The 25,039-nt window shown below is 45.8% G+C and overlaps 1 protein-coding gene across 13 annotated transcripts in view; it reads right to left on the minus strand.

Annotated features, from left to right (window-relative positions):
• The window catches only part of SCTR (secretin receptor), an 84,641-nt gene that overhangs the window by 3,258 nt on the left and 56,344 nt on the right, over nt 1-25,039 (minus strand). For 6 of the 13 annotated variants that reach the window (XM_011511621.3, XM_047445401.1, XM_047445399.1 and 3 more), the window contains 7 exons: nt 22,689-22,786; nt 21,023-21,155; nt 18,747-18,900; nt 10,187-10,247; nt 8,910-8,994; nt 5,589-5,680; nt 3,659-3,785 (listed from right to left, as the gene is read on the minus strand). In XM_011511621.3, the coding sequence (XP_011509923.1) occupies nt 3,659-3,785; nt 5,589-5,680; nt 8,910-8,994; nt 10,187-10,247; nt 18,747-18,900; nt 21,023-21,155; nt 22,689-22,786 (750 nt within the window). Of the gene's footprint in view, nt 1-3,658; nt 3,786-5,588; nt 5,681-8,071; nt 8,450-8,909; nt 8,995-10,032; nt 10,248-18,746; nt 18,901-21,022; nt 21,156-22,688; nt 22,787-25,039 lie in introns of those variants that run through there. The other 7 variants (NM_002980.3, XM_047445400.1, XR_007079571.1 and 4 more) reach the window with 6 other exon arrangements.

Here is a 25,039-nt window from a genome sequence, read left to right on the forward strand (position 1 = left end):
AGGGTTGCCTGGCCTCCGCTGCGCTAGGGTCCAGGGACACATTTTCACTGTTCAGGGGAGGGAGTTAGCTGTGCTCCAGTGTATATAGGGCAGGCCTCACACAAGCCAGCAAGTTTACTAATTTCCACCGTGATTCTGCGATCATTAAGGATGAAGACTTTGAAGAATTTTAATGACATGAAGAAATGCTCATGATGGGCATGATAGAGAATTAAACAAAACAAGCAAGATACAAAACCATACACATCATGATCCCAATTATGTGTGTGTATCTTTGTGGAAAGAAAAGAGACGGAAGTAAACACACCAACACTTTAACAGAAGTTATTTCTGGGTTATGACGTTCTAGATTTTTTTCTTATTATTTTTCTTTTTTTGAAAAACTTTTCCTTATTTCCCAAATTATTCACAATAAGCAAGCATTATTTATACAATTAGAAAGAGTGAATACATATTTTTTTTTGGAGACGGAGTCTCGCTCTGTCACCCAGGCTGGAGTGCAGTGGCGCGATCTCGGCTCACTGCAACCTCTGCCTCCCAGGTTCAAGCAATTCTCTTGCCTCAGCCTCCCGAGTAACTGGGACTACAGGCACACACCACCATGCCTGGGTAATTTTTTGTATTTTAGTAGAGACAGGCTTTCATCATGTTGCCCAGGCTGGTCTCGAACTCCTGAGCTCAGGCAATTCGCCTGCCTCGGCCTCCCGAAGTGCTAGGATTACAGGCGTGAGCCCCCGCGCCCGGCCATAAATACATTTTTAAAGAGTATATGACAGTGATGGTGTTATTACAGTTGTATGTGTTCTTCTTTAAGCCCCGTCTTTTAGAAATGCACACTAAACTCTTTGAAGATGAAATAACATGATGTTTTGAATTTACTTAAAAAGATGGGGGTAGTAGGTAGGGATGGAGATGAAACAAACAGGCCATGAGTGGATACCGCTGAGGCTGGGGATAGGTAATGGGGTTCATTGTCCTATTCTCTTCACTTTTGTATATGAAAAACATTTTCTCATGTGTGTGTATATATAAGAATATATATACATATTCTTATATATATATACACATATGTATATATACATATGAATATATACACATATGTATATATACATATGAATATATACACATATACATATGAATATATACACATATACATATGAATATATACATATATACATATGAATATATACACATATATACGTATGAATATATACACATATATACGTATGAATATATATACACATATATACGTATGAATATATATACACATATATACGTATGAATATATATACACATATACGTATGAATATATATACCCATATACGTATGAATATACACATATATATACGTACGTATATATATACACATATATACGTACGTATATATATACACATATATACGTACGTATATATATACACATATATACGTACGAATATATATACACATATATACGTACGAATATATATACACATATATACGTACGAATATATATACACATATATACGTACGAATATATATACACATATATACGTACGAATATATATACACATATATACGTACGAATATATATACACATATATACGTACGAATATATATACACATATATACGTACGAATATATATACACATATATACGTACGAATATATATACACATATATACGTACGAATATATATACACATATATACGTACGAATATATATACACATATATTCGTACGAATATATATACACATATATTCGTACGAATATATATACACATATATTCGTACGAATATATATACACATATATTCGTACGAATATATATACATATATTCGTACGAATATACACATATATTCGTACGAATATATATACATATATTCGTACGAATATATATACATATATTCGTACGAATATATATACATATATATGTATAAAACTTTAAAAGATCCTTTTTCTTCATCAACATTCGTATGAGAACATCAGGAAAGTGCTTTTGATTTTCTCTTGGCAAGACATTTTCCTAGAGAAGTAGTCCACAGTCCCAACCATTAGCCCCAACTCTGAGGGACAGGAAGTCCCCATCCATGGCCAGGCAGACCCGGGTCCAAGCTCTCAGCATGGTCCCTTTTCTGAGCCAGGTCAAGTCCTTCCACCCGACTGGTCCTCAAATCCTCTACCTGCTAGATGGGCCATTGTGTGCCCAGCCTCCCTGGACGTTACAAGAGCAGTGGTGAGGAAAGCTAGCTCCCTGGCCCCCAGGCCGAGAGGAAAAGAATCCTGGATTAAGCCAGAGGCTGAGTTCTCTGGAGGTCTGGGGCACTGACGGGTTACTGGGTAGAGGGCCAGCTTAGGGGAGGGTGTGGTCTGAAGGTATGGGTAGGGCAAGACCTGACTCCACTCAGTGATGTGTCCCCAGTGAGGCATCCTCCCTAGAACCTGTAAGTAACAGGAAGACCCTACCCTGAACAGAGCTCTAGGGATGAGGGGAGGGTTTGAACCCCTGCTCGCAGGCCGAGGCCACCCCAGTGAAAGCTTGGCTGGACAATATCGCCCTACCGTGGAAATGTCGTTAAGGACTAAGTCCTTTAAAAAAAACTACTGGGAGAATTTTGTCTCAGGCCTAGAGCCTATAATCACTGGCTTCTCCCGGCCGTTAGTTTGATTTTGTCTTATGGATATGCGAAATTTTGAAACAATTGTTTTGTCTTTGCTTTGGCTACTGGGAAGCTCCCTATCATACTTATGACCCATCTCTCCCTCCTGTATAGAACTTTATCGTATTTGTTTCTGTGTAGCAACCCAACCAGTTGTACATTCTTTTTTTCACTGATCCTTCATCGACTTATTTTTTGTCCTTTGTATGTTTTTCCCAAAAGCGACATTGCATTATTTTTGGAAGGAAATAGCTATGAGTAAATAAACAAACGGCATTGTGAAGTTTGGGATTCACGTTCAGGCTCCCTCTGCCCAAACACGTTTACTGTTGTTGTTTTTAAGTTCACAGCATCTTGTGGAATTAGTAGGTAAGCGCTTTTCCACCTCACTTTATTTTTTAAAGTCAGTTTTTAGTTTTAATAATTTGCATATGCACATGGTTTCAGAGAATCAAAGGATTCCTGTTACAGAACCAGCAGCCTCCTGACACCCCACCCTCACTTCCTTTTCCTCACATGCGACTGCTCCTTGAAACTCTCTTAACTGCTTCTAAAAAATATGCTGGTGTCGCCACTTGAGGAGTTTTCAGTCTAGGGCATTTTCTATGGACTTCCCAGTGTGAAGATGAGGACAGTGTTCTCTTCCAAACACCCGCCCCACGCTCCCGCGAGGCTCATCTTCCCGCCCCAGTGTTTGATGACTTGGCCATCCGCGCTTACGTTATTTTGACCATGTATATGTTATTGAGAGTTGTACAATATAGTGTACTGGGGCTACTTTTCCTTTTTATTTTCCCTGAAGTCAGTCTCTCTGTCTCTCTTAGTTTTATCTCCCACCCCCATTTGACTGGTGGGGACCAGGGATCCCACTCAGGGACCTGTAGCACTGTCAGGTCCGACCCCTTCTTCCCCTGGGTCTCTGCCAGATAAGGCATCTGGCTCGCAGTCTCTATGCCCTCCACTTCTCCCTAAGGACACAGAGAACTCCTCTTTTCAGCTGGCAGCCCCAGTCCTGGAAACTTACCTGGAATGAGCCAAGGGCTAGTTCAAAAAACAGCTGGATCTCCATAGCGTCCTCTGGGGAGAAGGCGAAGACGATGTAGTGGATGCCAAAGAGGGGGATCAGCAGGAGAGTGGACCTGGCCAGGCGCCTGGGGACACAGAAAGCCTGTAGCCTCCACTCTGCCTCCCTGCGCCCTTTCTCCTCCTGTAGGCACACAGCTGTGCCACTCCCCAGCTCGGGACTGACTGCTGAGGCTGGCTAGCAGTACCCCAAACTTTTTTGTTTTCATTTTTTATTTTGAAAGTTTCTAACTCCCTCATATCCATCACTCAGATACAACAATTTTTGACTCATGGCAAAGCCCCAAACTTTCTGATCATGCACCTCCATCAGTAAAAAGAAAAAAAAACGGTACCTACACCATTAACTTTATTTATAAATTACGTGCCTATATCACTGCTGCTCTATGTCTAACATCATACAAGCAAAGCCGGCTTTCTCATTTGCTAGATAATAAATATCTGTAGGGACAAATTCTTGTATTTTCTTCCCAGATTAGGGTTGCCAAACTTAGCAAATAAAAATACAGAATCCCCAGTTAAATCTGAATTTCAGATAAACAATGGACACCATGTGGGGGTATAAATATTGAAAAACGATTTGTTGTTTATCCAAAATTCAAATGTAACTGGGCATCCTGTATTTTACCTGGCAACTTTATCCCAGGTCCCCAGGAATCTGACACCAAGTAATCTGAGGCACTGTCAGATTCTCAAAACACGAAACACCATGGAGAAGGTCTCTGGGGGACACTAATTTGTCCTGTTTTTGTTTTGTTTTTTTCTTCTTTTTGAGACAGAGTCTTGCTGTGTTGTGCAGGCAGGAGTGCAGTGGCGCAATCGCGGCTCACTGCAACCTCTGCCTCCCAGGTTCAAGTGATTCTCCTATCTCAGCCTCCCGAGTAGCTGAGATTACAGGCGCCCTCCACCACGCCTGGCTAATTTTTGTATTTTTAGCAAAGACGAGGTTTCACCATCTTGACCAGGCTGGTCTCGAACTCCTGACCTCAAGTGATCTGCCCACCTTGGCCTCCCAAAGTGCTGGGATTATTGGTGTGAGCCACCGCGCCTGGATGCTAATTTGTCTTTAATATAATTTATGGGCTGAATTATGTCCACACCCACTGCCAAATTTTTACACTGAAGTCCTAGCCCCCAGTATCTCAGAATGTGACTGCATTTGGAGAAAGGTCTTGAAAGAGGAGGCTAAGTTACAACAAGGATGGAGTGGGGCCTAATCAAATCAACTGGTGTCCTTAGAAGAGGAAATATGGACACACAGAGGGACACCAGGGATGCCCACACACAGAGCAAAGACCCTGTGAGGACACAGCAAGAAATGCTTCAGAAGAAACCAAACCTGTCGACACCTTGATCTTGGACTTTCAGCCTCCAGAACTCTGAGAAAATACATATCAGCTGTTTAAGCCACCTAGTCTGTGATATTTTGTTATGGAAGCCCTAGAAAACGAACGTATTTCTCTTTAACATTTGAAAGGTCTTAAGTGTTTTTGGATCACGCACTTCCCTAAAATCTGATGAAACCGAAGGTCATCCTCCTCTGAAAATACACATACTGTACCTACACACATTTGTGTGAATTTCAGTCTTTGAAGCCCATGTGGAGACTCCCTAGCCTTGCCCCAAGGATAAGATCTCTCTGCCGTCAGGCTTCCTGCCTGAGATTTCTTAGTGTTTCCACCCCCATACAGTGTCTGAGGCTCTAAAATCAGACCATTCCCCGCAACCGCCCCCATGTACCTGGTAAACTTCTTACGACTAGGTCTACAACGTTTCCTCCGTCTCCAATAGCTAGCACCAGTTAAGTAAACAGTAGGTGCTCAGTAAATGCTTGCTGACTGACCATGCCTCAGTCTTTGCCCTTCACTTACTTATAATGGCTGACTTCATTTCCTCTTGTTTCTTGGGTTCTAAGTTTTCTCATCAGGATTCTTAGAATGTTTATGAAAAGGATGAAATTAATCTGCAAAACACAAGGCAGAGGTGGGGCTGAAGGCATCTTGCTTTTCCAGCCACCTCTCCTGGCCCTGTCCCCTGGACCTGAGGGCAGAGAAGACATTGCAGACACCACAGCCAGGATGGCCCACCAGTGCTGCCGCTCCTCTCCATCCCCTCCCCACCCCCAGTCCTGGTGAAACACTGTCTAGAGTCCATGGCTGGAGGCAGCACTCCCTCCTGCCCCTGGGCTGCAGAAGCTCTAAGGTCTGCTTAGTTGCAAGGCAGATCACTCACCCGTGCAGAGCATTGGAAGCCCCCGGGGATATTGTTAAAATGCAGGTTTGGGGTGGACCTGAGATTCTGCATTTCTAACAAGCTCCCAGGTAATACAATGCCAAAGCTGAAAGCCTTTACAGCAGTGGTTCTCAAAGTTTAGGGTACCCATTGCTGGGCTCTAACCCCACAGGTTATGGTTCAGTAAGTCTGGCGTGGGGCCCAAGAATTATTTTTAACAAGCTCCCAGGTGATGCTGAAGCTGCTGGTGTGAGGACCAGTTTGCAGCTCAATCGCCAGCTTCAAGAAGCCACCCTTGATTACTTCCCTTTCCTGATTCACCGTATTTAGGGATAATATTGCTGTGTAAGAGCACTTAAAATATCTTTTTTTTTCTTGCGAACTATGATTGGAAGAGAAAATATCTTAAAAGGTCAAATGCATGTGTCTGTCAAACATGTATGTGCCTAGTTATCTGCCAATTCAATTGTAACTTCCTGAAGGACAGGAACGCAGTCTTTTTATTCATTTTGGTGTCCCCTCCCCCAACCCCAGTGCCCAGTGCCAACAACATTAGGAAGTTGCCCACATGGTAGCATCTCTCCCTCCCTCACACACCTGCTCCAGCCATTTTATAGAAGCAGGGATCAGTGGAATCACCCAGCCTCACACCCGCATTGTTCACACAAGCAGCCTGGGGCCTGGGAATGCTTGCCAAAAGACACAGGATTAGTGGCTGTCTAGGACTCCTGGCCCAGCACTGCTTTTCGGGGAACCCTGCTTCTCTGCAACTTGCTTATGCATCTTGTTGTAAGCTGGCTATGCATGCTATCAACTCATTAAGGCTATTTAGTTTAATTTTGTTTGCCTTAGAGTTGTATTTAATTTAATAGGGAGCACTTGAAGACAAAAAAAAGAAGGAAGGAAGGAAGGAGGGAGGGAGGGAGGGAAGGAAGGAAGGAAGGAAGAAAGAGGGAGGGAGGGAGGGAAGGAAGGCAGGAAGGAAGGAAGGAAGAAAGAAAAAAGAAAGAAAAAGAAAGAAAGAAAGAAAAATAAATAAATAAATAAATAAATAAATGGAGGGAGGGAAGGAAGGAAAGGAAGGAAGGAAGGAAGCAAGGAAGCAAGCAAGCAAGCAGAAAACAAGGAAAGAAAGAAAGTCTTTAAGTTCCCAAGAATGAGTCCATTTTTAAATAGTGGAATTCCAGGCCCCATGCTAGGTTGGTAGGGAGATATTTTGCATCAGGAGTGCTCATCCAACATCCTCAATTGCTGAATAAACCACAGCCCTCTGAAACCAGCCCTGGACACTGGAGCTGGCCGTCCTTCATCCAGGGTTGTCCTGGGCTGGGCTCTCCGAGTCCCAGAATAACAGCGGGCTTGCTTAACTAAATGAGGAAACAGCCTCCAGCATGATATTATGAAGCCATGGCAAATCAGTTTATCAAGGAATTCCACATGAAACAGGAAAGCTCACATCTATTGCTAAGTGAAAAACAAAAAACAAAAAAACAAAAAAAAAACCTAATTAAGGATTTTGAAAAAGAAAAGTATGTCTGCTCAAAGAAGAAGGAGGAAGGAAAACACATGGTCATAACATATATGTAGCTGGGAGAATGATGAATGATTTTTTTTTTCCTTTTTAAAAAATACATTTTGTGCCAGGCACAGTGGTTCACACCTGCAATTTCAGCATTTTGGGAGGCTGAGGCAGGCAGATCACTCGAGTCCAGGAATTCAAGACCAGCCTGGGCAACACAGTGAAAGCTCATCTCTACAAAAAATTAGCTAGGCGTGGTGGTGGGAGCCTTTAGTCCCAGCTACTCGGGAGGCTGATGTGAGAGGGTCACCTGAGCCCAGGAGGTGGAGGTTGCAGTGAGTCATGGGTTGCGCCACTGCGCTCCAGCCTGGGTGACAGAGTGAGACCCTGTCTCAAAAAGTAAAACCAAAACAAACATTTTGTATTTTGCATTTTTTGCTCAGATTATGTAATTAAAAAAGAATAAAAGAAGGTTGTCATGGAATGGTCCTCTCCTCTCAACCAATCCCAAGATGCCACCCAGGCAGCTACTGGAAGAGAAGGGGCCCTGTCCTGTGCCCTCTCCCCCTACCCCACGCAGGTGAGCCTGCACAGGACACTCACTTTCAACTGGTTCTGCAGCCTTGGGCATCCCTGGGCTGTCCGTGTGGATGTTACTTCCAGCCAAGGGACTGCTTCCATCCATGAGATGATTCCTGTGTGTCCCCATGTGCCTTCCCTCCTCTGTCCCCCTATGCTGAACCATACCCATGGGCTGGGCTACAGGACTCTACCCTGGCACAGAGCAGAATCGCCTGGGGACCAGTACCCAGGCCTCTTGCCAGAAAAAGAAATGGAATCAATAGCTATCAGTATTTTCTAAAAGCTCCCAGGTGATTCAAAAGGGCCACCAGGGTTGACACTCACAAGCTCCTGTCCAAGATGGTCACCCAGCATCTCTTCCCTGGGGCCGCCCCTCCAGGCCTGAGCCCACTCGCAGCACTGCAAAGTCCCAAGACCATGACCCCACTGAGCTTCCCCGATCTGCACTCCCACCCTCTTCAGTGATCTCAGCTTAGCGACTCATCCCAAGTTAACAAGCAAATCCCTAGAAAAATGTTCAAGGCCCACAGGTCTGAACCAGTGAAGGTGGAATTTCAGGCCAATGGGAGCCAGCCAGTTTAGAACAAGGAGCTCTGCTCACCACACTTGAGCTGCTGCTTGTGGGAAAGAACCAGGTTCGCAGGCTCTTGCCTCCAGCTTACCCCTCACTGCACTCCCACACATTCTGCAGGGGGCAGAGCTTCCACACCCCACGCTGCTCACCAACCTCACAAACACTGTGGTTTATCCCTCCTGGCACCTGCAGGGAGCCCTGTCCTTCCACCCTCTGCCCCTGTGGGCTGGTCACCATTTCCGTCTCTCCCACTGATCCCCAGCTAGGGAGAGGAGGGCCACTCACCAGGATGGAGAGGATCACAGGACCACGAATGATCCACCAGATGGATGCGTTGGCATTGATGTCCCAGCACCTAAGGGAGGGACAGCTGGGCATGGTTATGAGCAGGAGCTGTGGGAGCTGGGCTAACCAGCAAGGACATGTTCCCTGAGGTGGCCCTTGGTATGAAGGACCTGTGTTTGTGGCACTGAGCCCCTGCAGTGGTGTGCCCAGCACCATTAGAACACCCCCTCCTGCCACCCAGGAGCACTGCTGGGGCTGAGGGAGTGGCCACCTGTCTCCCTGCGAGAACCTGAGAGCCGGGAGACTCCCAGATCCAAAAGTTAGCTTACTGTCAGAATTCACCAGCGAGCACGGTGGCAAACTCAGCTACCAACAGAAGCCAGGAAGATGACATCAGTAAGAGAAGTGGTGGATGGCTGACATGTGACCTCAGGATCTGGGGACATCAGGCCTGGAGGGTACTGAGCAAACTGGGGAGCATGTGCCCTGTCCAAGACAGCCGCAGCTCTGCTCCAGCTTATTTTTGCCACAAGGAAAAATGGAACGTGTTAAAGGACCTCTCCATTTTTTTCTAGACAAGCTGAAAATCCAGATTTTTTGAAAAAGTGAATTCACCCAATACAAAAATTACTTTGAAGCAATTATTTCGGGCTAAATTTGGACTATAGACACTTGGATGTCTCATTTGACCTCATCCACTTATTGGCCTGGTTGTGTCATTATGCCCCTGAGAAATCAACTCCCATGCTGCCCCGCTGCCTCGCTGCTGCCCTGCTGCCTCTCCTCTTCCCCAGCTTCTTTTAAGCTTGCTTCCCATGTACCTACTCCCAGGTGCGTCCCCTGGGCTCACTGCCACCCTCAATGCCTGACTTCTTTAGAGTCTGGCTCTGCAGGGCTCCTAAACACCCAGGGGTAGAGAGGCATCCAGGAGGGAGATCCCAGGAGGAAGAAAAAGCTGGACTGGCCCTTCCTTGAGTTTCTTCCATGGAGCAACACCTGCCTGGAGCCCCGTAGCTCTTGTCTGGCATCTGACCCACATGCAGAGCGGACAGGCAGCAAGAAGACAGGAAGGCCAGGACAGTGCAGGCATGGCCAAGGCTGCTCGGCCCACCTGGAAACACACCTGGGAAGCAGTGAGCATCAGTCCAGGGAACTCATCTGTGGCCTCTACTTTGAGAAAAAGGCCTTTCCTAGATAGCTCCAAAGAAGTAACTATGCTGTTTGAAAAGCTGGACGATGTCAGATACATTCTTGTTATCCTCCTTCCGTTAGCTTACCCAACATCTTCCAGAAAGTGTCTGGCAATAGCCCACAAAGCAACAAAAATGGCTGGAGAACCTGAGGATTAAAAACAAAGGGAGGGGCAGAAGAGAGAGGACTCAATTTTCAACACACATATCAGAACAGGACAATTGGTTACCCCAGCCCAGCTACTGAGCAGGTGCCAAGATTTGGTTTCCACAGAAACCCCTCTGCCATCTTGTGCCATCTTGTGTGAATGTGGCACCATGTGCCTCAAGGGTGCCGGGCATGCCCTGGGGACTATGGCAGAATCAGAAGGATCCCAAAGGCCACTTGGTGTTAGGGGTCTCCTGGGAACCCAGGCCAGACTCCAGAGGACCACTGCAAAGTATAGAGGGGCTGGGACTCCTGGGCAGGCTCGTGGACACATGGAGGCAGCTGGAGAGCCCCCTTCTCATACTGTGATCTGCCTGGCCACGTGCAGCGGGGAGGAGGAAGTGGAGAAGGGGTGGACACAGGTCATGAAAGAAACGTTGATTTTATTCAAATATTGGTTTGTAAAAAGCTTGGCCATTTAACAGCTAAGGTAAGCCATCACTGTCATGTTTAAACAAAAATATAATTTGGACTAGAGATGAGATCAAGTCCACAAGAATTTAGAAGAGAAAATACAATAACATTTCCTGACTTCTAGTTAAACGTGGCAAACTGAACTTATACATTTATCCCTACTTCCCCTGAAGCCCCTCTAAAATGATAATAAAGAAATAGAAATGGTAAAAGCCCGTAAGGACAAAGACTGAGAAGGAAGGGCAGAGTAGAGGAGAGACGGCAACACGCTTAGGCACACAGAAGCCTGCCAGAGGAGTGGCAGCTGATGTCCCGAGCAGAGGAAGCTGAAACAGAAGTGCTGTCTGGGGCAATGCCGCTGGGGAAGTGCCCAAGGATGCTCTAGGGCCAGGGCACCCGGTACCCAGGAGGCAGGCGGCAGAGTGGGGCTGGGGCAGGAGGATGGTTTGAAGTCTGGATAAGAAACAGATAAGCACCCCAGGCGGCCAGCACTACCCTCACCAGACTGAATAGTCAACTTCCAACAGAGTTTATTCTCTGGAATTACTGAACCAAGGAGAACAGGGCTGCAGCCCAGCAGAGGGTTGGAGGGGTTGCTCAGCTGAGCAGGAATGGAGTGACAGTCTACACCAGCGCTCAAGGTGGCTCTTGAGCACCTGGTATGTGGCTGGTCCCTACTGAGTTGGGCACTAAGTGCAAGATAGATACCATATTTTGAAGACTTGGTACAAATAAAAGGACGTAAAACATGGCCAGACGCGGTGGTTCATGCCTGTAATCTCAGCACTTTGGGAGGCTGAGGCAGGTGGATCACCCGAGGTCAGGAGTTCGAGACCAGCCTGGCCAACATGGCAAAACCCTGTCTCTATTAAAAAAACAAAAACTAGCCAGGCATGGTGGTGCATGCCTGTAATCCCAGCTACTCGGGAGGCTGAGGTGGGAGAATAGCTTGAACCCGGGAGGCGGAGGTTGCAGTGAGTCAAGATTGCGCCACTGCGCTCCAGCCTGGGTGACAAGAGAGGAACTCCATCTCAAAAAAAAAAAAATGTAAAATATGTCATTACCAATTTTTATATTGATTATACATTGAAATGATACTATTTTGGTCACCTTGGGTTGAACAGAATAGATTGTTGAAACAAATACTGCCTGTTTCATTTTACTGTGTTGATTGTGGCTACTAGAAAATTTTAAGCTAGATGTATGGCTCAGATTCTTTTTTTTTTAAGCAGAAATACTTAAATCAGATTCTATTTCTAGTGGACGTGCTCAAGCTGAATGGTAAAAGCCCTGGTCCCCGGGCCGCTCAGTTTTCAGGCCTCTACTGAATGGGCTTCTACCCCTACCCCAGCCCTCTACCCTCTGCCCACCTCCCTGCCACTGCACGCTGGAGATGAAAGGATTCTCTAGAGGAACTGAACAGCCCCAGACAAAGAGCCTATAGATAGCCATGGGGGGACCCCCCAACACTTCCAGTCCAGTGTCCCTTGAGAGACAAACCCCACACCCCCAACAGCCATTAGCCGGCTCTGAAGTGATTCATTCTTAAATAGGAACAGACAGCCAAGGTCACCAACATCTTATTACATAAAAGACACAGACCAAAACAATCAGAGAAAAGGAACTCAGAGGAAACAGACCATACAGGAAGCAGAAGGAACTTGGAACAAAACAACTCTAAGGAACGCCATCGGAGAGATAAAAGGTCGTATCTACAAGACACAAACAGGATGCTGTCAACAGGGAGTGCCCGGAGAACAAGAAAGGGGGCTTAGGAACGGAGCATATGATAACCACAATTAAACACGCAATAGACGGGTTGGAAGATAAAGACTAGGAATCTCTCAGCAGAATAAACAACAGTGGAATGAAAAGTAGGAAAAAGAAATTCGAACATTAGAGGTTATTCCAGGATGTACAACATTAGACTAAAGGGAGTTTCAGAAAACAGAGGATAAAAAACAGAAGGAAAAAACAATTAAATAGATAATGTAAGAACATTTTCAAGAAATGAAAGACATGAATTTTCAGATGAAAGGGACACCGTATGCCAGGAAAAACGATGAAAAAAGGCCTGCATCACAGCACATCCCTGTGACATTTCAGAACACAGAGAGAAGATCCTGCAGCTTATGTAGAAAGGAGTAAAAAGTTCAGGAAGCAAAATGGCATGGCACATCCCATAACACTGATGCCAAAACACAAGACCCTCAAAATTCTGGGGAAAATGATTTTTCAACTTTTTTTTTTTTTTTTTTTTTTGAGATGAAGTCTCACTCTGTTGCCCAGGCTGGAGTGCAGTGGTCTCAGCTCTCTGCAACCTCCACCACCCGGGTTCAAGTGATTCTTCTGTCTCAGCCTCTTGAATAGCTGAGATTACAGGCACCCACCACCACCCCTGACTAATTTTTGTATTTTAGTAGAGACAGGGTTTCAACACGTTGGCCAGGATGGTCTCGAACTCCTGACCTCAAGTGATCTGCCCACCTTGGCCTCCCAAATTGCTGGGATTACAGGTGTGAGCCACTGTGCCTGGACTTCAGCTTGTTTTATGTCCAGCAAAATAATGAATTAGGTATGAAGGTTGAACGAAGATATCTTCAGACATGGGATTAAAAAAATGTTCCTTTCAGGTGCTCTTGGTTAGACAGATACTGGAGGATGTGCTCCAACACAACTAGAGAGTGAACCAAAGACAGGGAGATGAGAAAGAAAGGAAACAGGATTTGTGGAAGAAGGTGAAAGCTAAGGGAGCTGAGCAAATCTGGAGAACAGCCAGGCCAAGTCAAGCAAGAAGGCAGAAAGCTCTAGAAAAAAACACTGGCAAGTATACCAGGTTGAATAGTGTCTCCCTAAAATTCATGTCAACCCAGCACCTCAGACTGTAACCTTACTTGGAAATAGGGTCTTTGCAGATGTAATTGGTTAAGATAAAGTCATACTGGAGTATGGTGGGCCACTACTCCAGCATGATTGGCATCCTTATAAGAAGGCCATGAGAGACACACAGAGAGAGAAGACACAGAGGAAGAAGTCCATGTAAAGACATAAGCAGGAATGGGGCTGATGCAACTACAAACCAAGGAATGCCAAGCATTGCCAGCCACCACCAGAAGGTAGGAAAGAGATATGGGAGGGATCCTCCGTCAGGGCCTCCAAAAGAAACCAACCCTGCCAACGCGTTGATTTCAGACTTCTGGCCTCCAGAACTGTGAGAGAGTAAATTTCTGTTGTTTTAAGCCACCAAGTTTGTGGCAATTTGTTAAGATAGCCTTAGGAACTAATACAGCAGGAAACAAACAAATAGGAACTGATAGATTTCCTATTGCATTTGATGATTTGGAAAATAAATAGCATTGGAAGGCTGTCCAAAGAATTTGAGAGAATTGATGCTGGCAATATATATATATAAAAAGCAAAGGAAAAATGATTCCAGGAAAATAAAAAGTTAATAAGATTGAAAGTAAAATTATTGTACACCACTTGTCTCAGTGGTAAACACTATTTACATAGATATAATAATGTATACACTGAATCTGATTTAGCCAAAAATGATAAGAAACTGTAAAGGAAGAATGGAGGTAGAGGATTAAGAATTTTATATTCTTGGTCAGGCGCAATGGCTCACAACTATAATCCCAGCACTTTGGGAAGTTGATGCAGGAGGATCGTTTGGGCCCAGGAGTTCAAGACCAACCTGGGAGACATGGCAAGACCCTGTCTCTACAATAAATGTAAAAAATCAGCCAGATGTGGTGGCATGCACCTGTAGTCCTAGCTAGTTAGGAGGCTGAGCCAGGAGGATCGCTTGAGCCCAGGAGCTTGAGGTTGCAGTGGGCTGTGATTGAACCACTGCACTCCAGCTTGGGCCAAGAGAGTGAGATCCTGTCTCAGAAAAGAAAAAATAATTTTATATTCTTATCTTCCATCATGTGGAGTCAATAACTAATGCTTCAAACAGACAAATCAAGAAATAGTAGTGTATTGATTTTAGAAACACGAGAGTAAATCTTAGGAGGAACAAGTTAAAAGAGTGAAAGGCATTAACTCTGGAGGCTGAGCTCGGGAATAAGAAGTGAAGGCAGGAGATTTAGCTTTTGTTTATTATAAACCTTGTAGTCTTTTGTTTAATTATTTAAACCAAGTACATGAATGACTTTGATAAAAATAACAATTAAACAAATGCCTTGGGCTGGGTGTGGTGGCTCATGCCTGTAATCCCAGCACTTTGGGAGGCTGAGGCAGGAGGATCACTTGAGGCCAGGAGTTCAAGACCAGCCTGGGCAACATAGTGAGACACTGTCTCTACAAAAAATAAAAATAAGTAAATAAAAATTAGCTAGGTACAGTGGTGCATGCCTGTAGTCACAGCCACTCAGGCGGCTGAGGCAGAAGGATCACTTGAGCCCAGGACGTTGAGGCTGCAGTGAGCCAAGATTGAACAGTTGCACTCCAGCCTGGGTGACAAAGAGAGACCCTATCTTGAAAAAAAAAAAAAAGCCGGGCGTGGTGGCTCACGCCTGTAATCCCAGCACTTTGGGAGGCCGAGTCAGGTGGATCAAGAGGTCAGGAGATTGAGACCATCCTGGCTAACACAGTGAAACCCCGTCTCCACTAAAAACACAAAAAATTAGCTGGGTGTGGTGGTGGGCACCTGTAATCCCAGCTACTCAGGAGGCTGAGGCAGGAGAATGGTGTGAACCCGGGAGGCGGAGCTTGCAGTGAGCCCAGATTGCGCCACTGCACTCCAGCCTGGGCAACAGGGCAAGACTCTCTCTCAAAAAAAAAAAAAAAGTCTTGCCTCAATTCTTAGTGCTTTGGGCAAAGAACATGGGTTTTGAGAGGCACTTGTTCATTATCTTCCATCCTTAGTGGCAAGTTGGTGGGAAAGTTTGCAAAATTTGTAATGGTTTAAGTTGGTGGCTCAGTGTGGCCCCTGGACCAGCAGCATGAGCAACACCTGGGAACACGTCAGAAATGCAGTCTCGGGCCACCCCAGACCCACTGCCTCAGAGTCTCTGGGCGGGGAGTGCAGCAAGCTGGGTTTGGCAGACCTTCACCCATGCTGAGGCAGAACCGCCAGTGCCAGCCGCTCACTCTCACTCGCTGAGTGGCAGCCTGGCTCATCTATAAAGCCTGCGCTGTCACTATTTTCTGGATACAGACTCACACCTCAGCCGCTCTGAAAAAGTCAAAGCTTTGGGTAAGTGTTAAAAACCTTAAACGTGCTCACTCCTTTCCACTCAGGAATCCATATCCTGGGATTCTGTATTACATACAGAAAACACTTTGCCCATAAAGGTATTCATCACTGTGCTATTTATAATAGTGAGACAACCTAAATGTCCAAACAATAGGTATGTGGTTAAATACATCTATATCACATCTATCTATCTATGTGGTAGTTTAAAATGTTTATGAAAGATTTGACATAATACAGAACATGCTTATGTGTTAATGGGAAGAAGCGAAATTCAAAATTCTTCATAGAGAATGACCACAGCTATGTGAGGAAAAACTGCAAGTAGAAAAAAAGGTTGGAAGGAAATCTCAGAAAAAGTTCAATCTGTGGGACTAGGGTAATTTTTTTTTTTCTACTTAAAAAAATTTTTTTTACAAGGTTTTACAGTAGGGGTGTACCCATTTAAGCAACCTATCTTTGATGAAATCAGTATAATTTCAAGCAGGGGCCGTTACCTTCGCATGAAAAGGGCTTCTCACAGATAGAGGGGCTTCAGGCCTTCTAGGGACCCTTCAGGGTCTCTTTGGTGTCTGGCAGGCAAACAGGCCAGGAGGAAGAGAACCATTGCTGTTTTATATGTCACTCAATTCTCAGCACCCAGCACAGGGCTGGCGTACAGTAGATGCTCCACAAAGATTTGAAGAAGAAAGGAAGGTTCTTATTATTTCATTCCAACATCTTAAAATCCTGTGACAGAGATACTATCACAATGCAGCTTTGTAATCCCTGAACACAGGAAGTGCTCAAAGAATGTTGAATAAATTATGGTCCTGATATTATAGATGGGAAAACGGTCCATGTTCATACAGCTGAATCTTGGCGTATCTGGGATTTAAAGCTTAGTGAACTGGGCTCAGTGAGTTGGGTGCTTTTTTGGCAGAGCCAGCTGCATAAGGCAAGTCCCTGGTCCCCAGGCACTCTGGGATTGCTGGCCTCTAGAGACGTCGGCATAACTCTGCAACCTCCCGATGGCCCGGGGTCAGGTGCTGACTGGGCTGCCAAGGTTCAGAAGCAGGAGGGCTCAGCAAGCAGGAGGGCTCAGCAAGCAGGAGGGCTCAGCAAGCTCTGCCAGCTCAGGCAGCTCCCCTGATCGGGAGACAGGGCCCTTGTAAATAAGGATTTAGACAAGCAGAAAAGGCAGCACAGGGCATTCCTGGCAGGGACACTTCTTAAAGGCACCAGGAAGAAACCAAAAGAAGCTAATGCTTGGTGCACATGACTATCTCTGTAAGCCTTTGAGTCACTCACAGGAACCTGGCTCTCTGTCTAGAACTCCTTAGGGTAACGTTCATGTTTATCAAATGAGCAACTAATGGATGAATGGATAGAGGAATGGATGGATGAGTGGGTGGATGTGTGCATGGGTGGGTGGGTGGATGGATGGATGGATGGATGGATGGATGGATGGATGGGTGTTAATGGCAGGGTAAAAGTTAAAGGGCTTTGGAAACAGACAAGTCTTGGCTTGAATCCTGAGGTCTGTCCTTGTTTACCATGTGAGTTGGTATGTTACGTTGTGTCTGTGAGCTGAGGTCTCTGAGAGGCCTCTGGAGATTGCTACGATGATTAAATGATACATGTAAAGTGCTGAATCCAATGCCTGGCACATAGCAAGTGCCCCTAAAATGGAAGTTGTTTGTCGTCTTCATTGACCGAAAAGGAAAAGGGACAGAGATGGAATGGGGGCCCGCACTTGGCTGTCTCGCTCTCATTCTCCCTCTTTCCTAGACAATGAATCCCGAATTTCCTTTAGGAAGTCATGTGGTTTGAGTAGCTAAGGCCAATCAACATATTTCATTCTCTCAGGCCTCTGTGACTAGTTCAAGGGTGTCTATGAGATTCAAGCAGTCCAACCAGAGTGCACCTCAGAATATTTGCTAAGAATGCTGGATGGAGTCTCTTTCTTTCTCTCGTTGGAGTTCGGTACAAGGAAGTCTCTAGCCCAGAAGCTGTTGGCCATTCCATTGGGAACACCAGCTTAACTACAAAGCCGATGTTACGAAAGGCAAAGTAGAGACAGAAAGCAACAGTGTGACGCTGCTGGATTCAGCCTCTCCTGAAGTTGGTGATCACTGGACTTTTCAGTTATATGAGCCAATTAATTTCGTTTATGTTTAAAGGTTTACAGATTTTCTGATGCCAGCAGTCAAAAGCGTTCTAATACAGAAAGGAAGCAAGAAAGAGGACGTAGGAATGCACCGTCTAAAGGCAGACGAGGCAACAAGTATTGGGTGGGAACGAACTGTAAAAAGCTCTAGATGCCAGAAACTGGGGCTAAATTTGAGCTAGGATTTCCCACTTGACAGATAAGTAAACTGAGACCAGAGGGTTAAACATCAAGGAACTTGTCTAAGATTACACAAGTTAGCTGGATGCGGTGGCTCACGCCTGTAATCCCATCACTTTGGGAGGCCGAGGCGGGCGGATCACCTGAGGTCAGGAGTTCAAAACTAGTCTGACCAACAGGGCGAAACCCTGTCTCTACTAAAAATACAAAATTAGCTGGGTGTGGTGGCACATGCCTGTAATCCCAGCTACTTGGGAAGCTGAGGTAGGAGAATCACTTGAACCTGGGAGATGAAGGTTGCAGTGAGCCAAGATCATGCCATTGCACTTCAGCCTGGGCAACAAGAGCAAAACTCCAACTCAAAAAAAAAAAAAAAAAAAAAGATTACACAAGTTAGTTAAGTGTGGAGCTGGAACTAAAAGCCGAACCCTCCGACTCTCGACTCAGCACCCCTTCCCACATACCATGCAGATATCAGACCCAGGGAGAAACATACCCCATCCGAATGCCACAAATCCCTGGAGGTACTTTCTTTCAGAGAAGAAGGAGATGGCGAGGAGTGTGTGAAGGTAGAGGCCTTCCACCAGCAGCCAGGAGTAGTTGGCCATGATGCAGTACTGGAACAGCACCATGACCAGCTTGCAGCCCGCCTGGAGAGAGAGAGGCAGCTGAACCCAGGCCGGGTGGCAGTGGGGTTCCCTCTGGTGAGTGGCCCCAAAGGGAGCAACAGGGTGTTGTAGGGGCAGGAGCCAGGCCACAAGAGCGGGCCTCTGGGGTTCAAGGCCATCTTCTGTGGCCTTCCTCCATCAGGCCTGCAGCATTCTCTAGAGAGTAGGAGTCCACAGGCCTAGTGGGTTCAGTCAAGCTGGCCAATCAATGAGCCATCATAGGAGCAGGAACTAGGTTCAAATCCTAGCACTGGCTGCCAGGCTAGATGAGGAGGCAGTCCTTCAACTACAGAACTGTGTCGGATACTGCCCAATCCCCTCATTTTTTCAGATGAGGAAACCAAGGCCTAGAAAGGGAAGAGATTTCTGAGCAAAGGGTTAAAAAAATCTTTTCTAAGCTCAGTTCCCTTGCAAACACATAATGAAGGGATGTGCCAACTCTGTTAGGAGGTACCACTGATTATGGTAAAAATGGCCCTGGCTGGTACATTGCACTCTCCACATATCTGATGGGGATGTCATGGAGTTGGACTTCCCTGATGCAGTGACTGACTCTTTTAACAGGCATGTCCCCTGCAGGGATCCCCGGAAGTTATGCCTGTAGAATTGTGGGGCACCAGGCTTCTACACCAGCACAGCTCCTGTACCTCTGCCATGGTAGGGCCTTTGTCCTTTTCTTTGCATTGGGCTGTCCCCTGGGGATGGGACAGCTCCCGGGATAGCCGTAGGGCTGCTGCAAAGACAAGCCCGAGAAGGAGGAGCGCCCGGTGCTGCCTGGGGACAGTGGTGGTTCCTGCCTTATGGCCTTCCCAGAGGCTCTGACTCCAGGCAAGGCCCATGGTTGACTTGTGAGTCTAATGTTTAGTAAAACCTGAGAAGGTTCCCTGCTGGGGCATTGCTGGCCTTGTCCACTGCTGGTCAGTAATGAAGCGTGGCTAGGATTTAAGGCTCCTGACTCCCAGCAGGTACTCTTGTTTCATCCTGGAGACCTCCTTGAGAGACATGGATCCTACCTGAAGAACCTCTCAGTCTGAGTCAGAAAATACACACACACACACACACACACACAACTCTGAACAATACAAACAGGTGAGTGGTAGGAAGTGGCAGGCAGGTTGGCTGAACTAATCTCAATTTCCAATCTCTTTTCTCCCTTGCTCGCCTCTACTATAGAGATTGTGATAGTAAAAAACTCTATCACCCTGCTTCCTTTGCGATTAAGTGTGGTTACATGACTCAACTCTAGCCAATGAGATGTAGGTAGGAGTTTCTGGGGAAGGTGCCCTTTCTCAATAGAAAGGCAAAGCTGCCCAAAAGATAAAAAAATGTTTAACGTTTTACCTTTCTCCTTCTTGCCTGGAACACAGACAGGAGGCCTGGGGTTGCAGCAGTCATATTGCAACCATGTGGTATAAAGCATGACATCAAAGGCCTACTCTAAGGATGGCAGTGCGGAAACAGGGGAAAAGACTGTGTCCCTCATGGTATCACACAGCCATTGCACCACCTCATCTGTGGACTGCTTACGTAGGAAACAGCCCCCATTTGTTTAAGACCCCAATATATAGTTTTCTGTTATTCGCAGCAAAAGGAATCCCAACTGACACACAGGGTGATTGCAATGAATTGAGTCATCTGGGCATTTGGAAGGAGAAAGGGGGTTAGATTTAAGAAAACACAACGTTTTATTGCAAATACATTTATACAGACATACTGGCCCATGCTCACCCTTTTCTTTTTATGACCAACCCCCACCCTCTCCAGACTGGGTCATCTTTCTTCAGCTGGGAACTGGCAGAAGTAGGGAAAAGAGGAGTCTCCCTATATATCTAATTCCTAGAGTGACCAGTTCACTCCTGGACACTGGGAGTTTACGGCAACCCCCATGAGCTTCTCTCCTACATGACCCAGATTGTGCACATGTGGCTGTGGAATCTCCCTGAACCTCCTGGCCCAGTGTCAGCACTGGCTGCTTTATCCTTGGTATTAAGTGCAGCCTCAGCAGGGGCTTGGGGGAAGGACAACTAGGCTACTCCCCTCTCCAAAGCTAGGCTGGGGAAGGCAGGCGGGCCTGGCGACATCCTGGGGCACCCAGACATATTACCCTGTGGGCATCGCAGTAGGTGACATCATCTGAGGAGAAGAGCACGGCGTCCTTGATGAAGTTGGACAGGGCACGAAGGATGAAGGACACGAACAGGTGCATGTGGATGTAGTTGCGAGTGCAGTGGAGCCTCCTGCAGGGAGAGAATGTAGGGACATAGAGGCCAGAGCCTGAGGGGCTGGGACTCAGCCAGGCCCACCTGCCACCAGTGCACTGGGGAAACTGAGGCCCTAGACTTCAGCTCTTTCCGGGTAACACATTCTGTGAGCATAACCTGAATGAGGAACTGGGTCTCCAGGTGGCCAGTCTAATTTGCTACATGCTGCAGTGAGAAAAAAAAAAAAAAAGGCCAGCCACAGTGTGGCTCACACCTGTAATCCCAGTACTTAGGGAGGCCAAGGCAGGAAGATCACTTGAGGCCATGAGTTCAACATATTGAGACTTCTGTATCTACAAAAAAATTGTTTTTGTTTTTAATTAGCTGGGCATGGTGGTGCCTGCCTGTATTCCTTGTACAAGAGGCTGAAGTGGGAGGATTGCTTGAGCCCAGGAGTTCTACCATTGCCACTGCACTCCAGCCTCAGCAGCAGAGCAAGACTTTGTCTCTAAATGAATAAATAAAAAGCTGGGGCTGTAGGGGCAACATTGTATTCTGCCCTGACCTACCACCATCTCCAGCTCCCAGAATTGTTTTGGGGGAGGGGTGAGGACGGCAACCAGAACGGGAGAGGGCTAGGGGCACAGAAGGAACACAGGCTGCGGGGAGAAAGCAGACCCTGGCTCTGCCACTTAGCAGCTATATGACCTTGAGCAAGACTTTTCACTTCCCGGAGCCTCAGTGTCCTCCTCTGCTGCAGGGGACAGAAGTCAGTTACTTGTTCTGCTTCTTCTGGTACCGGAAACAGGCTTTCTTCTGGGAAACCCATTCCAGCTCTGGATTGGGAGGGCTCCACCCTTCTCACCCTCATGACAGACTTGATCAATCAGAGTGCTCCATCGCTGTCCATAGTGATTGGCTCAGAGTTGGGCATGTGACCTAAGCCCGGCCTATGAGAACTCTGAGGACTTTTACTGGAACCAGAGGGGAAGAGGCTCTTGTTGGCCCTGGTGTTGCTGAGCTAGCAGGATGAATGCCAGCAACTGCTGGTGGTTGTCTCTGCCACTTCTGCAGAAAGCCTCCCAGAGGATGAGGCCAACCCAGAGCAGTGGAATGGAGGGAGACGGACCTAGCTGCTGATGCCACTGAACACCTAGATCCAGCCATGCCTACAGCAGATGCCCATGAACTTGCCACTTACATGGGTCAGGTCGCCTTTGTTTTTCTTATGCTGTTTCGAGGTGGATTTCTGTCTCTTGCAACAGAATCTCGCTAGTACTACTGTAAAATGGGGTTCCTGTTACCTATCTCATAGCATTGTGTGAAAATTAGAATACATATAAAGCGACCGGCCGCAAGTTCTCAGTAGTGCTTAGTAAATGTTGAAAAAATAAAGGGATGAATGAGGTCACAGGAACCTCGATGTTTTGCCATAGGTCAGCTTTAGATCAAGAGACGACAAGGTAGTTCACTCAGACCTTCCTCTTTCTGTCCTGGGTGGTTGAGAAGAGACCCAAAGTCTGTACCTGAGGAGGGCTGGGGTATGGAGAGCTGGCAGTGTGTTCTCACCGGAAAGCACAGAGGATGCCAAGGGCGACCAGGAGCATGACCAGGGAGGAGCTGTAGCCCACGGTGTACATGACTTTCAGCTTCAGCAGGTAGGAGTGCTGCAGAGAGAGGCACGTGTCAGCCCCGCCGGCCCTCCTGGCTAGCTCTGCCTTCTGTGCCTCACTGCATCCGCTTCAGGCAGCTTGAACCCACCGACGCTGCTATTCTGTCCATACCTCAAGGACGCCAATTCACAGACACATAACACCGTAACATCCTGGCATTGGAAAAGCCCTTAGGGATCATCTGATGATCCCTAAGGATCATCCCTAAGTTTGAATTGATGCCAATTCAAACTTCCATCTTATGTATAGGGCCCCTTACCAACTCTCTGAATTCAAACCTTTGCTTGAATACCTCTAGAGACAAAGTGCTCACTGCCCTTTGAGAAAGTTATTTGGTGTAAAATAGCACAAAATATTAGATTTTGTTTATGTGAAGCTAAAATCAATTACTTGCACCACCTATTGGTCCATTTTCTGTCTTCTGGATCCACTTAAAATGGATTTGTCTTTTATATAAGGCAGGTTTTATATAGAAAAGTTACAAAGGTCATACAGGGAGGCCTGCCATTTTTTAATACAGCTATTCTGCCCATCTGTTTCTCTTTCATTTTCTCTATGTCAAATATTCCCTGTGTCAGGTCGGGTGCGTTGGCTCATGCCTGTAATCCCAGCACTTTGGGAGTCTAAGGAGGAAGGATTGCTCGAGCTCAGGAGTTCAAGACCAGCCTGGGCAACATTGCGAAACACTGTCTCTACAAAAAATTTTAAAATTAGCCAGGCACAATGGTGCACACATGTGGTCACAGCCACTCAGAGGCTGAGGTAGGAGGATCACTCCAGCCTGGGAGGTCAAGGCTGCAGTGAGCTGTGATCCAGCCACTGCACTCCAGCCTGGATGACAGAGTAAGACCCTGTCTCAAATAAATAAATATATACATACATACATACATACATACATACATATTCCCTGTGTCTTTAACCTCTTTCCACAATCCTTCAACCTTTAGTTAAATTAATATGCTCCAGTTTGTTAATGTCCTTCTTAAATAAGACCCCCAGAACCACATAGCTGAAAAGCTCCAGATGCATTCTCTGACCAGGAAGAGGTAGAAGGGATCCATCACCTCCCATCTCCCCTGATCTATACATTGCGCGCCTATGCAGCCAAGCAGGCATTCACTTATTCAGCAGCCACTTCACACTATTGGCTCATCTTTGAGTCAAAAAGATCTAAGTGGAATATTGGTCAGAAAATTAAAAGATCTGGCCAGGCATGGTGGCTCACACCTATAATCCCTGCACTTTAGGAGGCCAAAGTCGGTGGATCACTCGAGGTTAGAGTTCGAGACCAGCCTGGACAACGTGGAGAAACCCTGTCTCTACCAAAAATACAAAAATTAGCCAGGCATGGTGGCGTGCACCTGTAATCCCAGCTACTTGGAAGGCTGAGGCAGGAGGCTCGCTTGAACCCGGGAGGTGGGGGTTGCAGTGAGCTGAGATTGCACCACTGCACTCCAGCCTGGGCTGGAGACCCTGTCTCAAAAAAAAAAAAAAATTGAAAGATCTGCATTTAGGTCCAAAAAATAAAGTATCAAAAAGAATCAAGGGAATAAAAATTAAAAGAATAATTTTTACCAACCAAACTAACAAATATGTAAAAGTAATAATTTCCTCTGCAGGTGAGGGTATAGTGGGACTCAAAACTGGTTCAATCTTTCTGGAAGGTAATATAGAAATATGTATCAAGAACCTTTGAAATATGACCTTTTGACCTCCCTTCTACCTTCAGGAATTGATTCTAAGAAATAATCAGAAATTTAAAAGCATATTTATACATGAAGATGTTTATCACAGAAGTATTAGTGATAAAAAAAACCCAAATGTCCAACAATAGAATAGTTACATCAATTATTTCAAATACAAATTACTTTCATGGTATACCGCTAATAAAATGTTGTTTACCAAGAATTTAAAATGAGTCAGGACATGCTGATATATTATTACATGAAAAAGCAGAATTCAAACTTTACATGTGCAATGTGATTCCAGCTATATGTAAAAACATATTAGGGAATTATATGAAAACTGATTCTGCTGAGAATTTTTAAAATAAATAAATTTTAAAAAGATTTATATGAAATTACCTTTTGTGTAGATCCAAAATGATTGAATATCAACACAAAAAATAAAGAAAACAAAAAAACTGAATATCAGCCATTCCATGTGGTTCAATCTCATACATACAGAGAGACAAGATTGTAAAGAGATATGGCTGATGTTAACAGTGGTTAACTTTGTATTATAGGC

Source organism: Homo sapiens, chromosome 2, assembly GCF_000001405.40.
Source record: "Homo sapiens chromosome 2, GRCh38.p14 Primary Assembly".
Taxonomy (NCBI): Eukaryota; Metazoa; Chordata; class Mammalia; order Primates; family Hominidae; genus Homo; species Homo sapiens.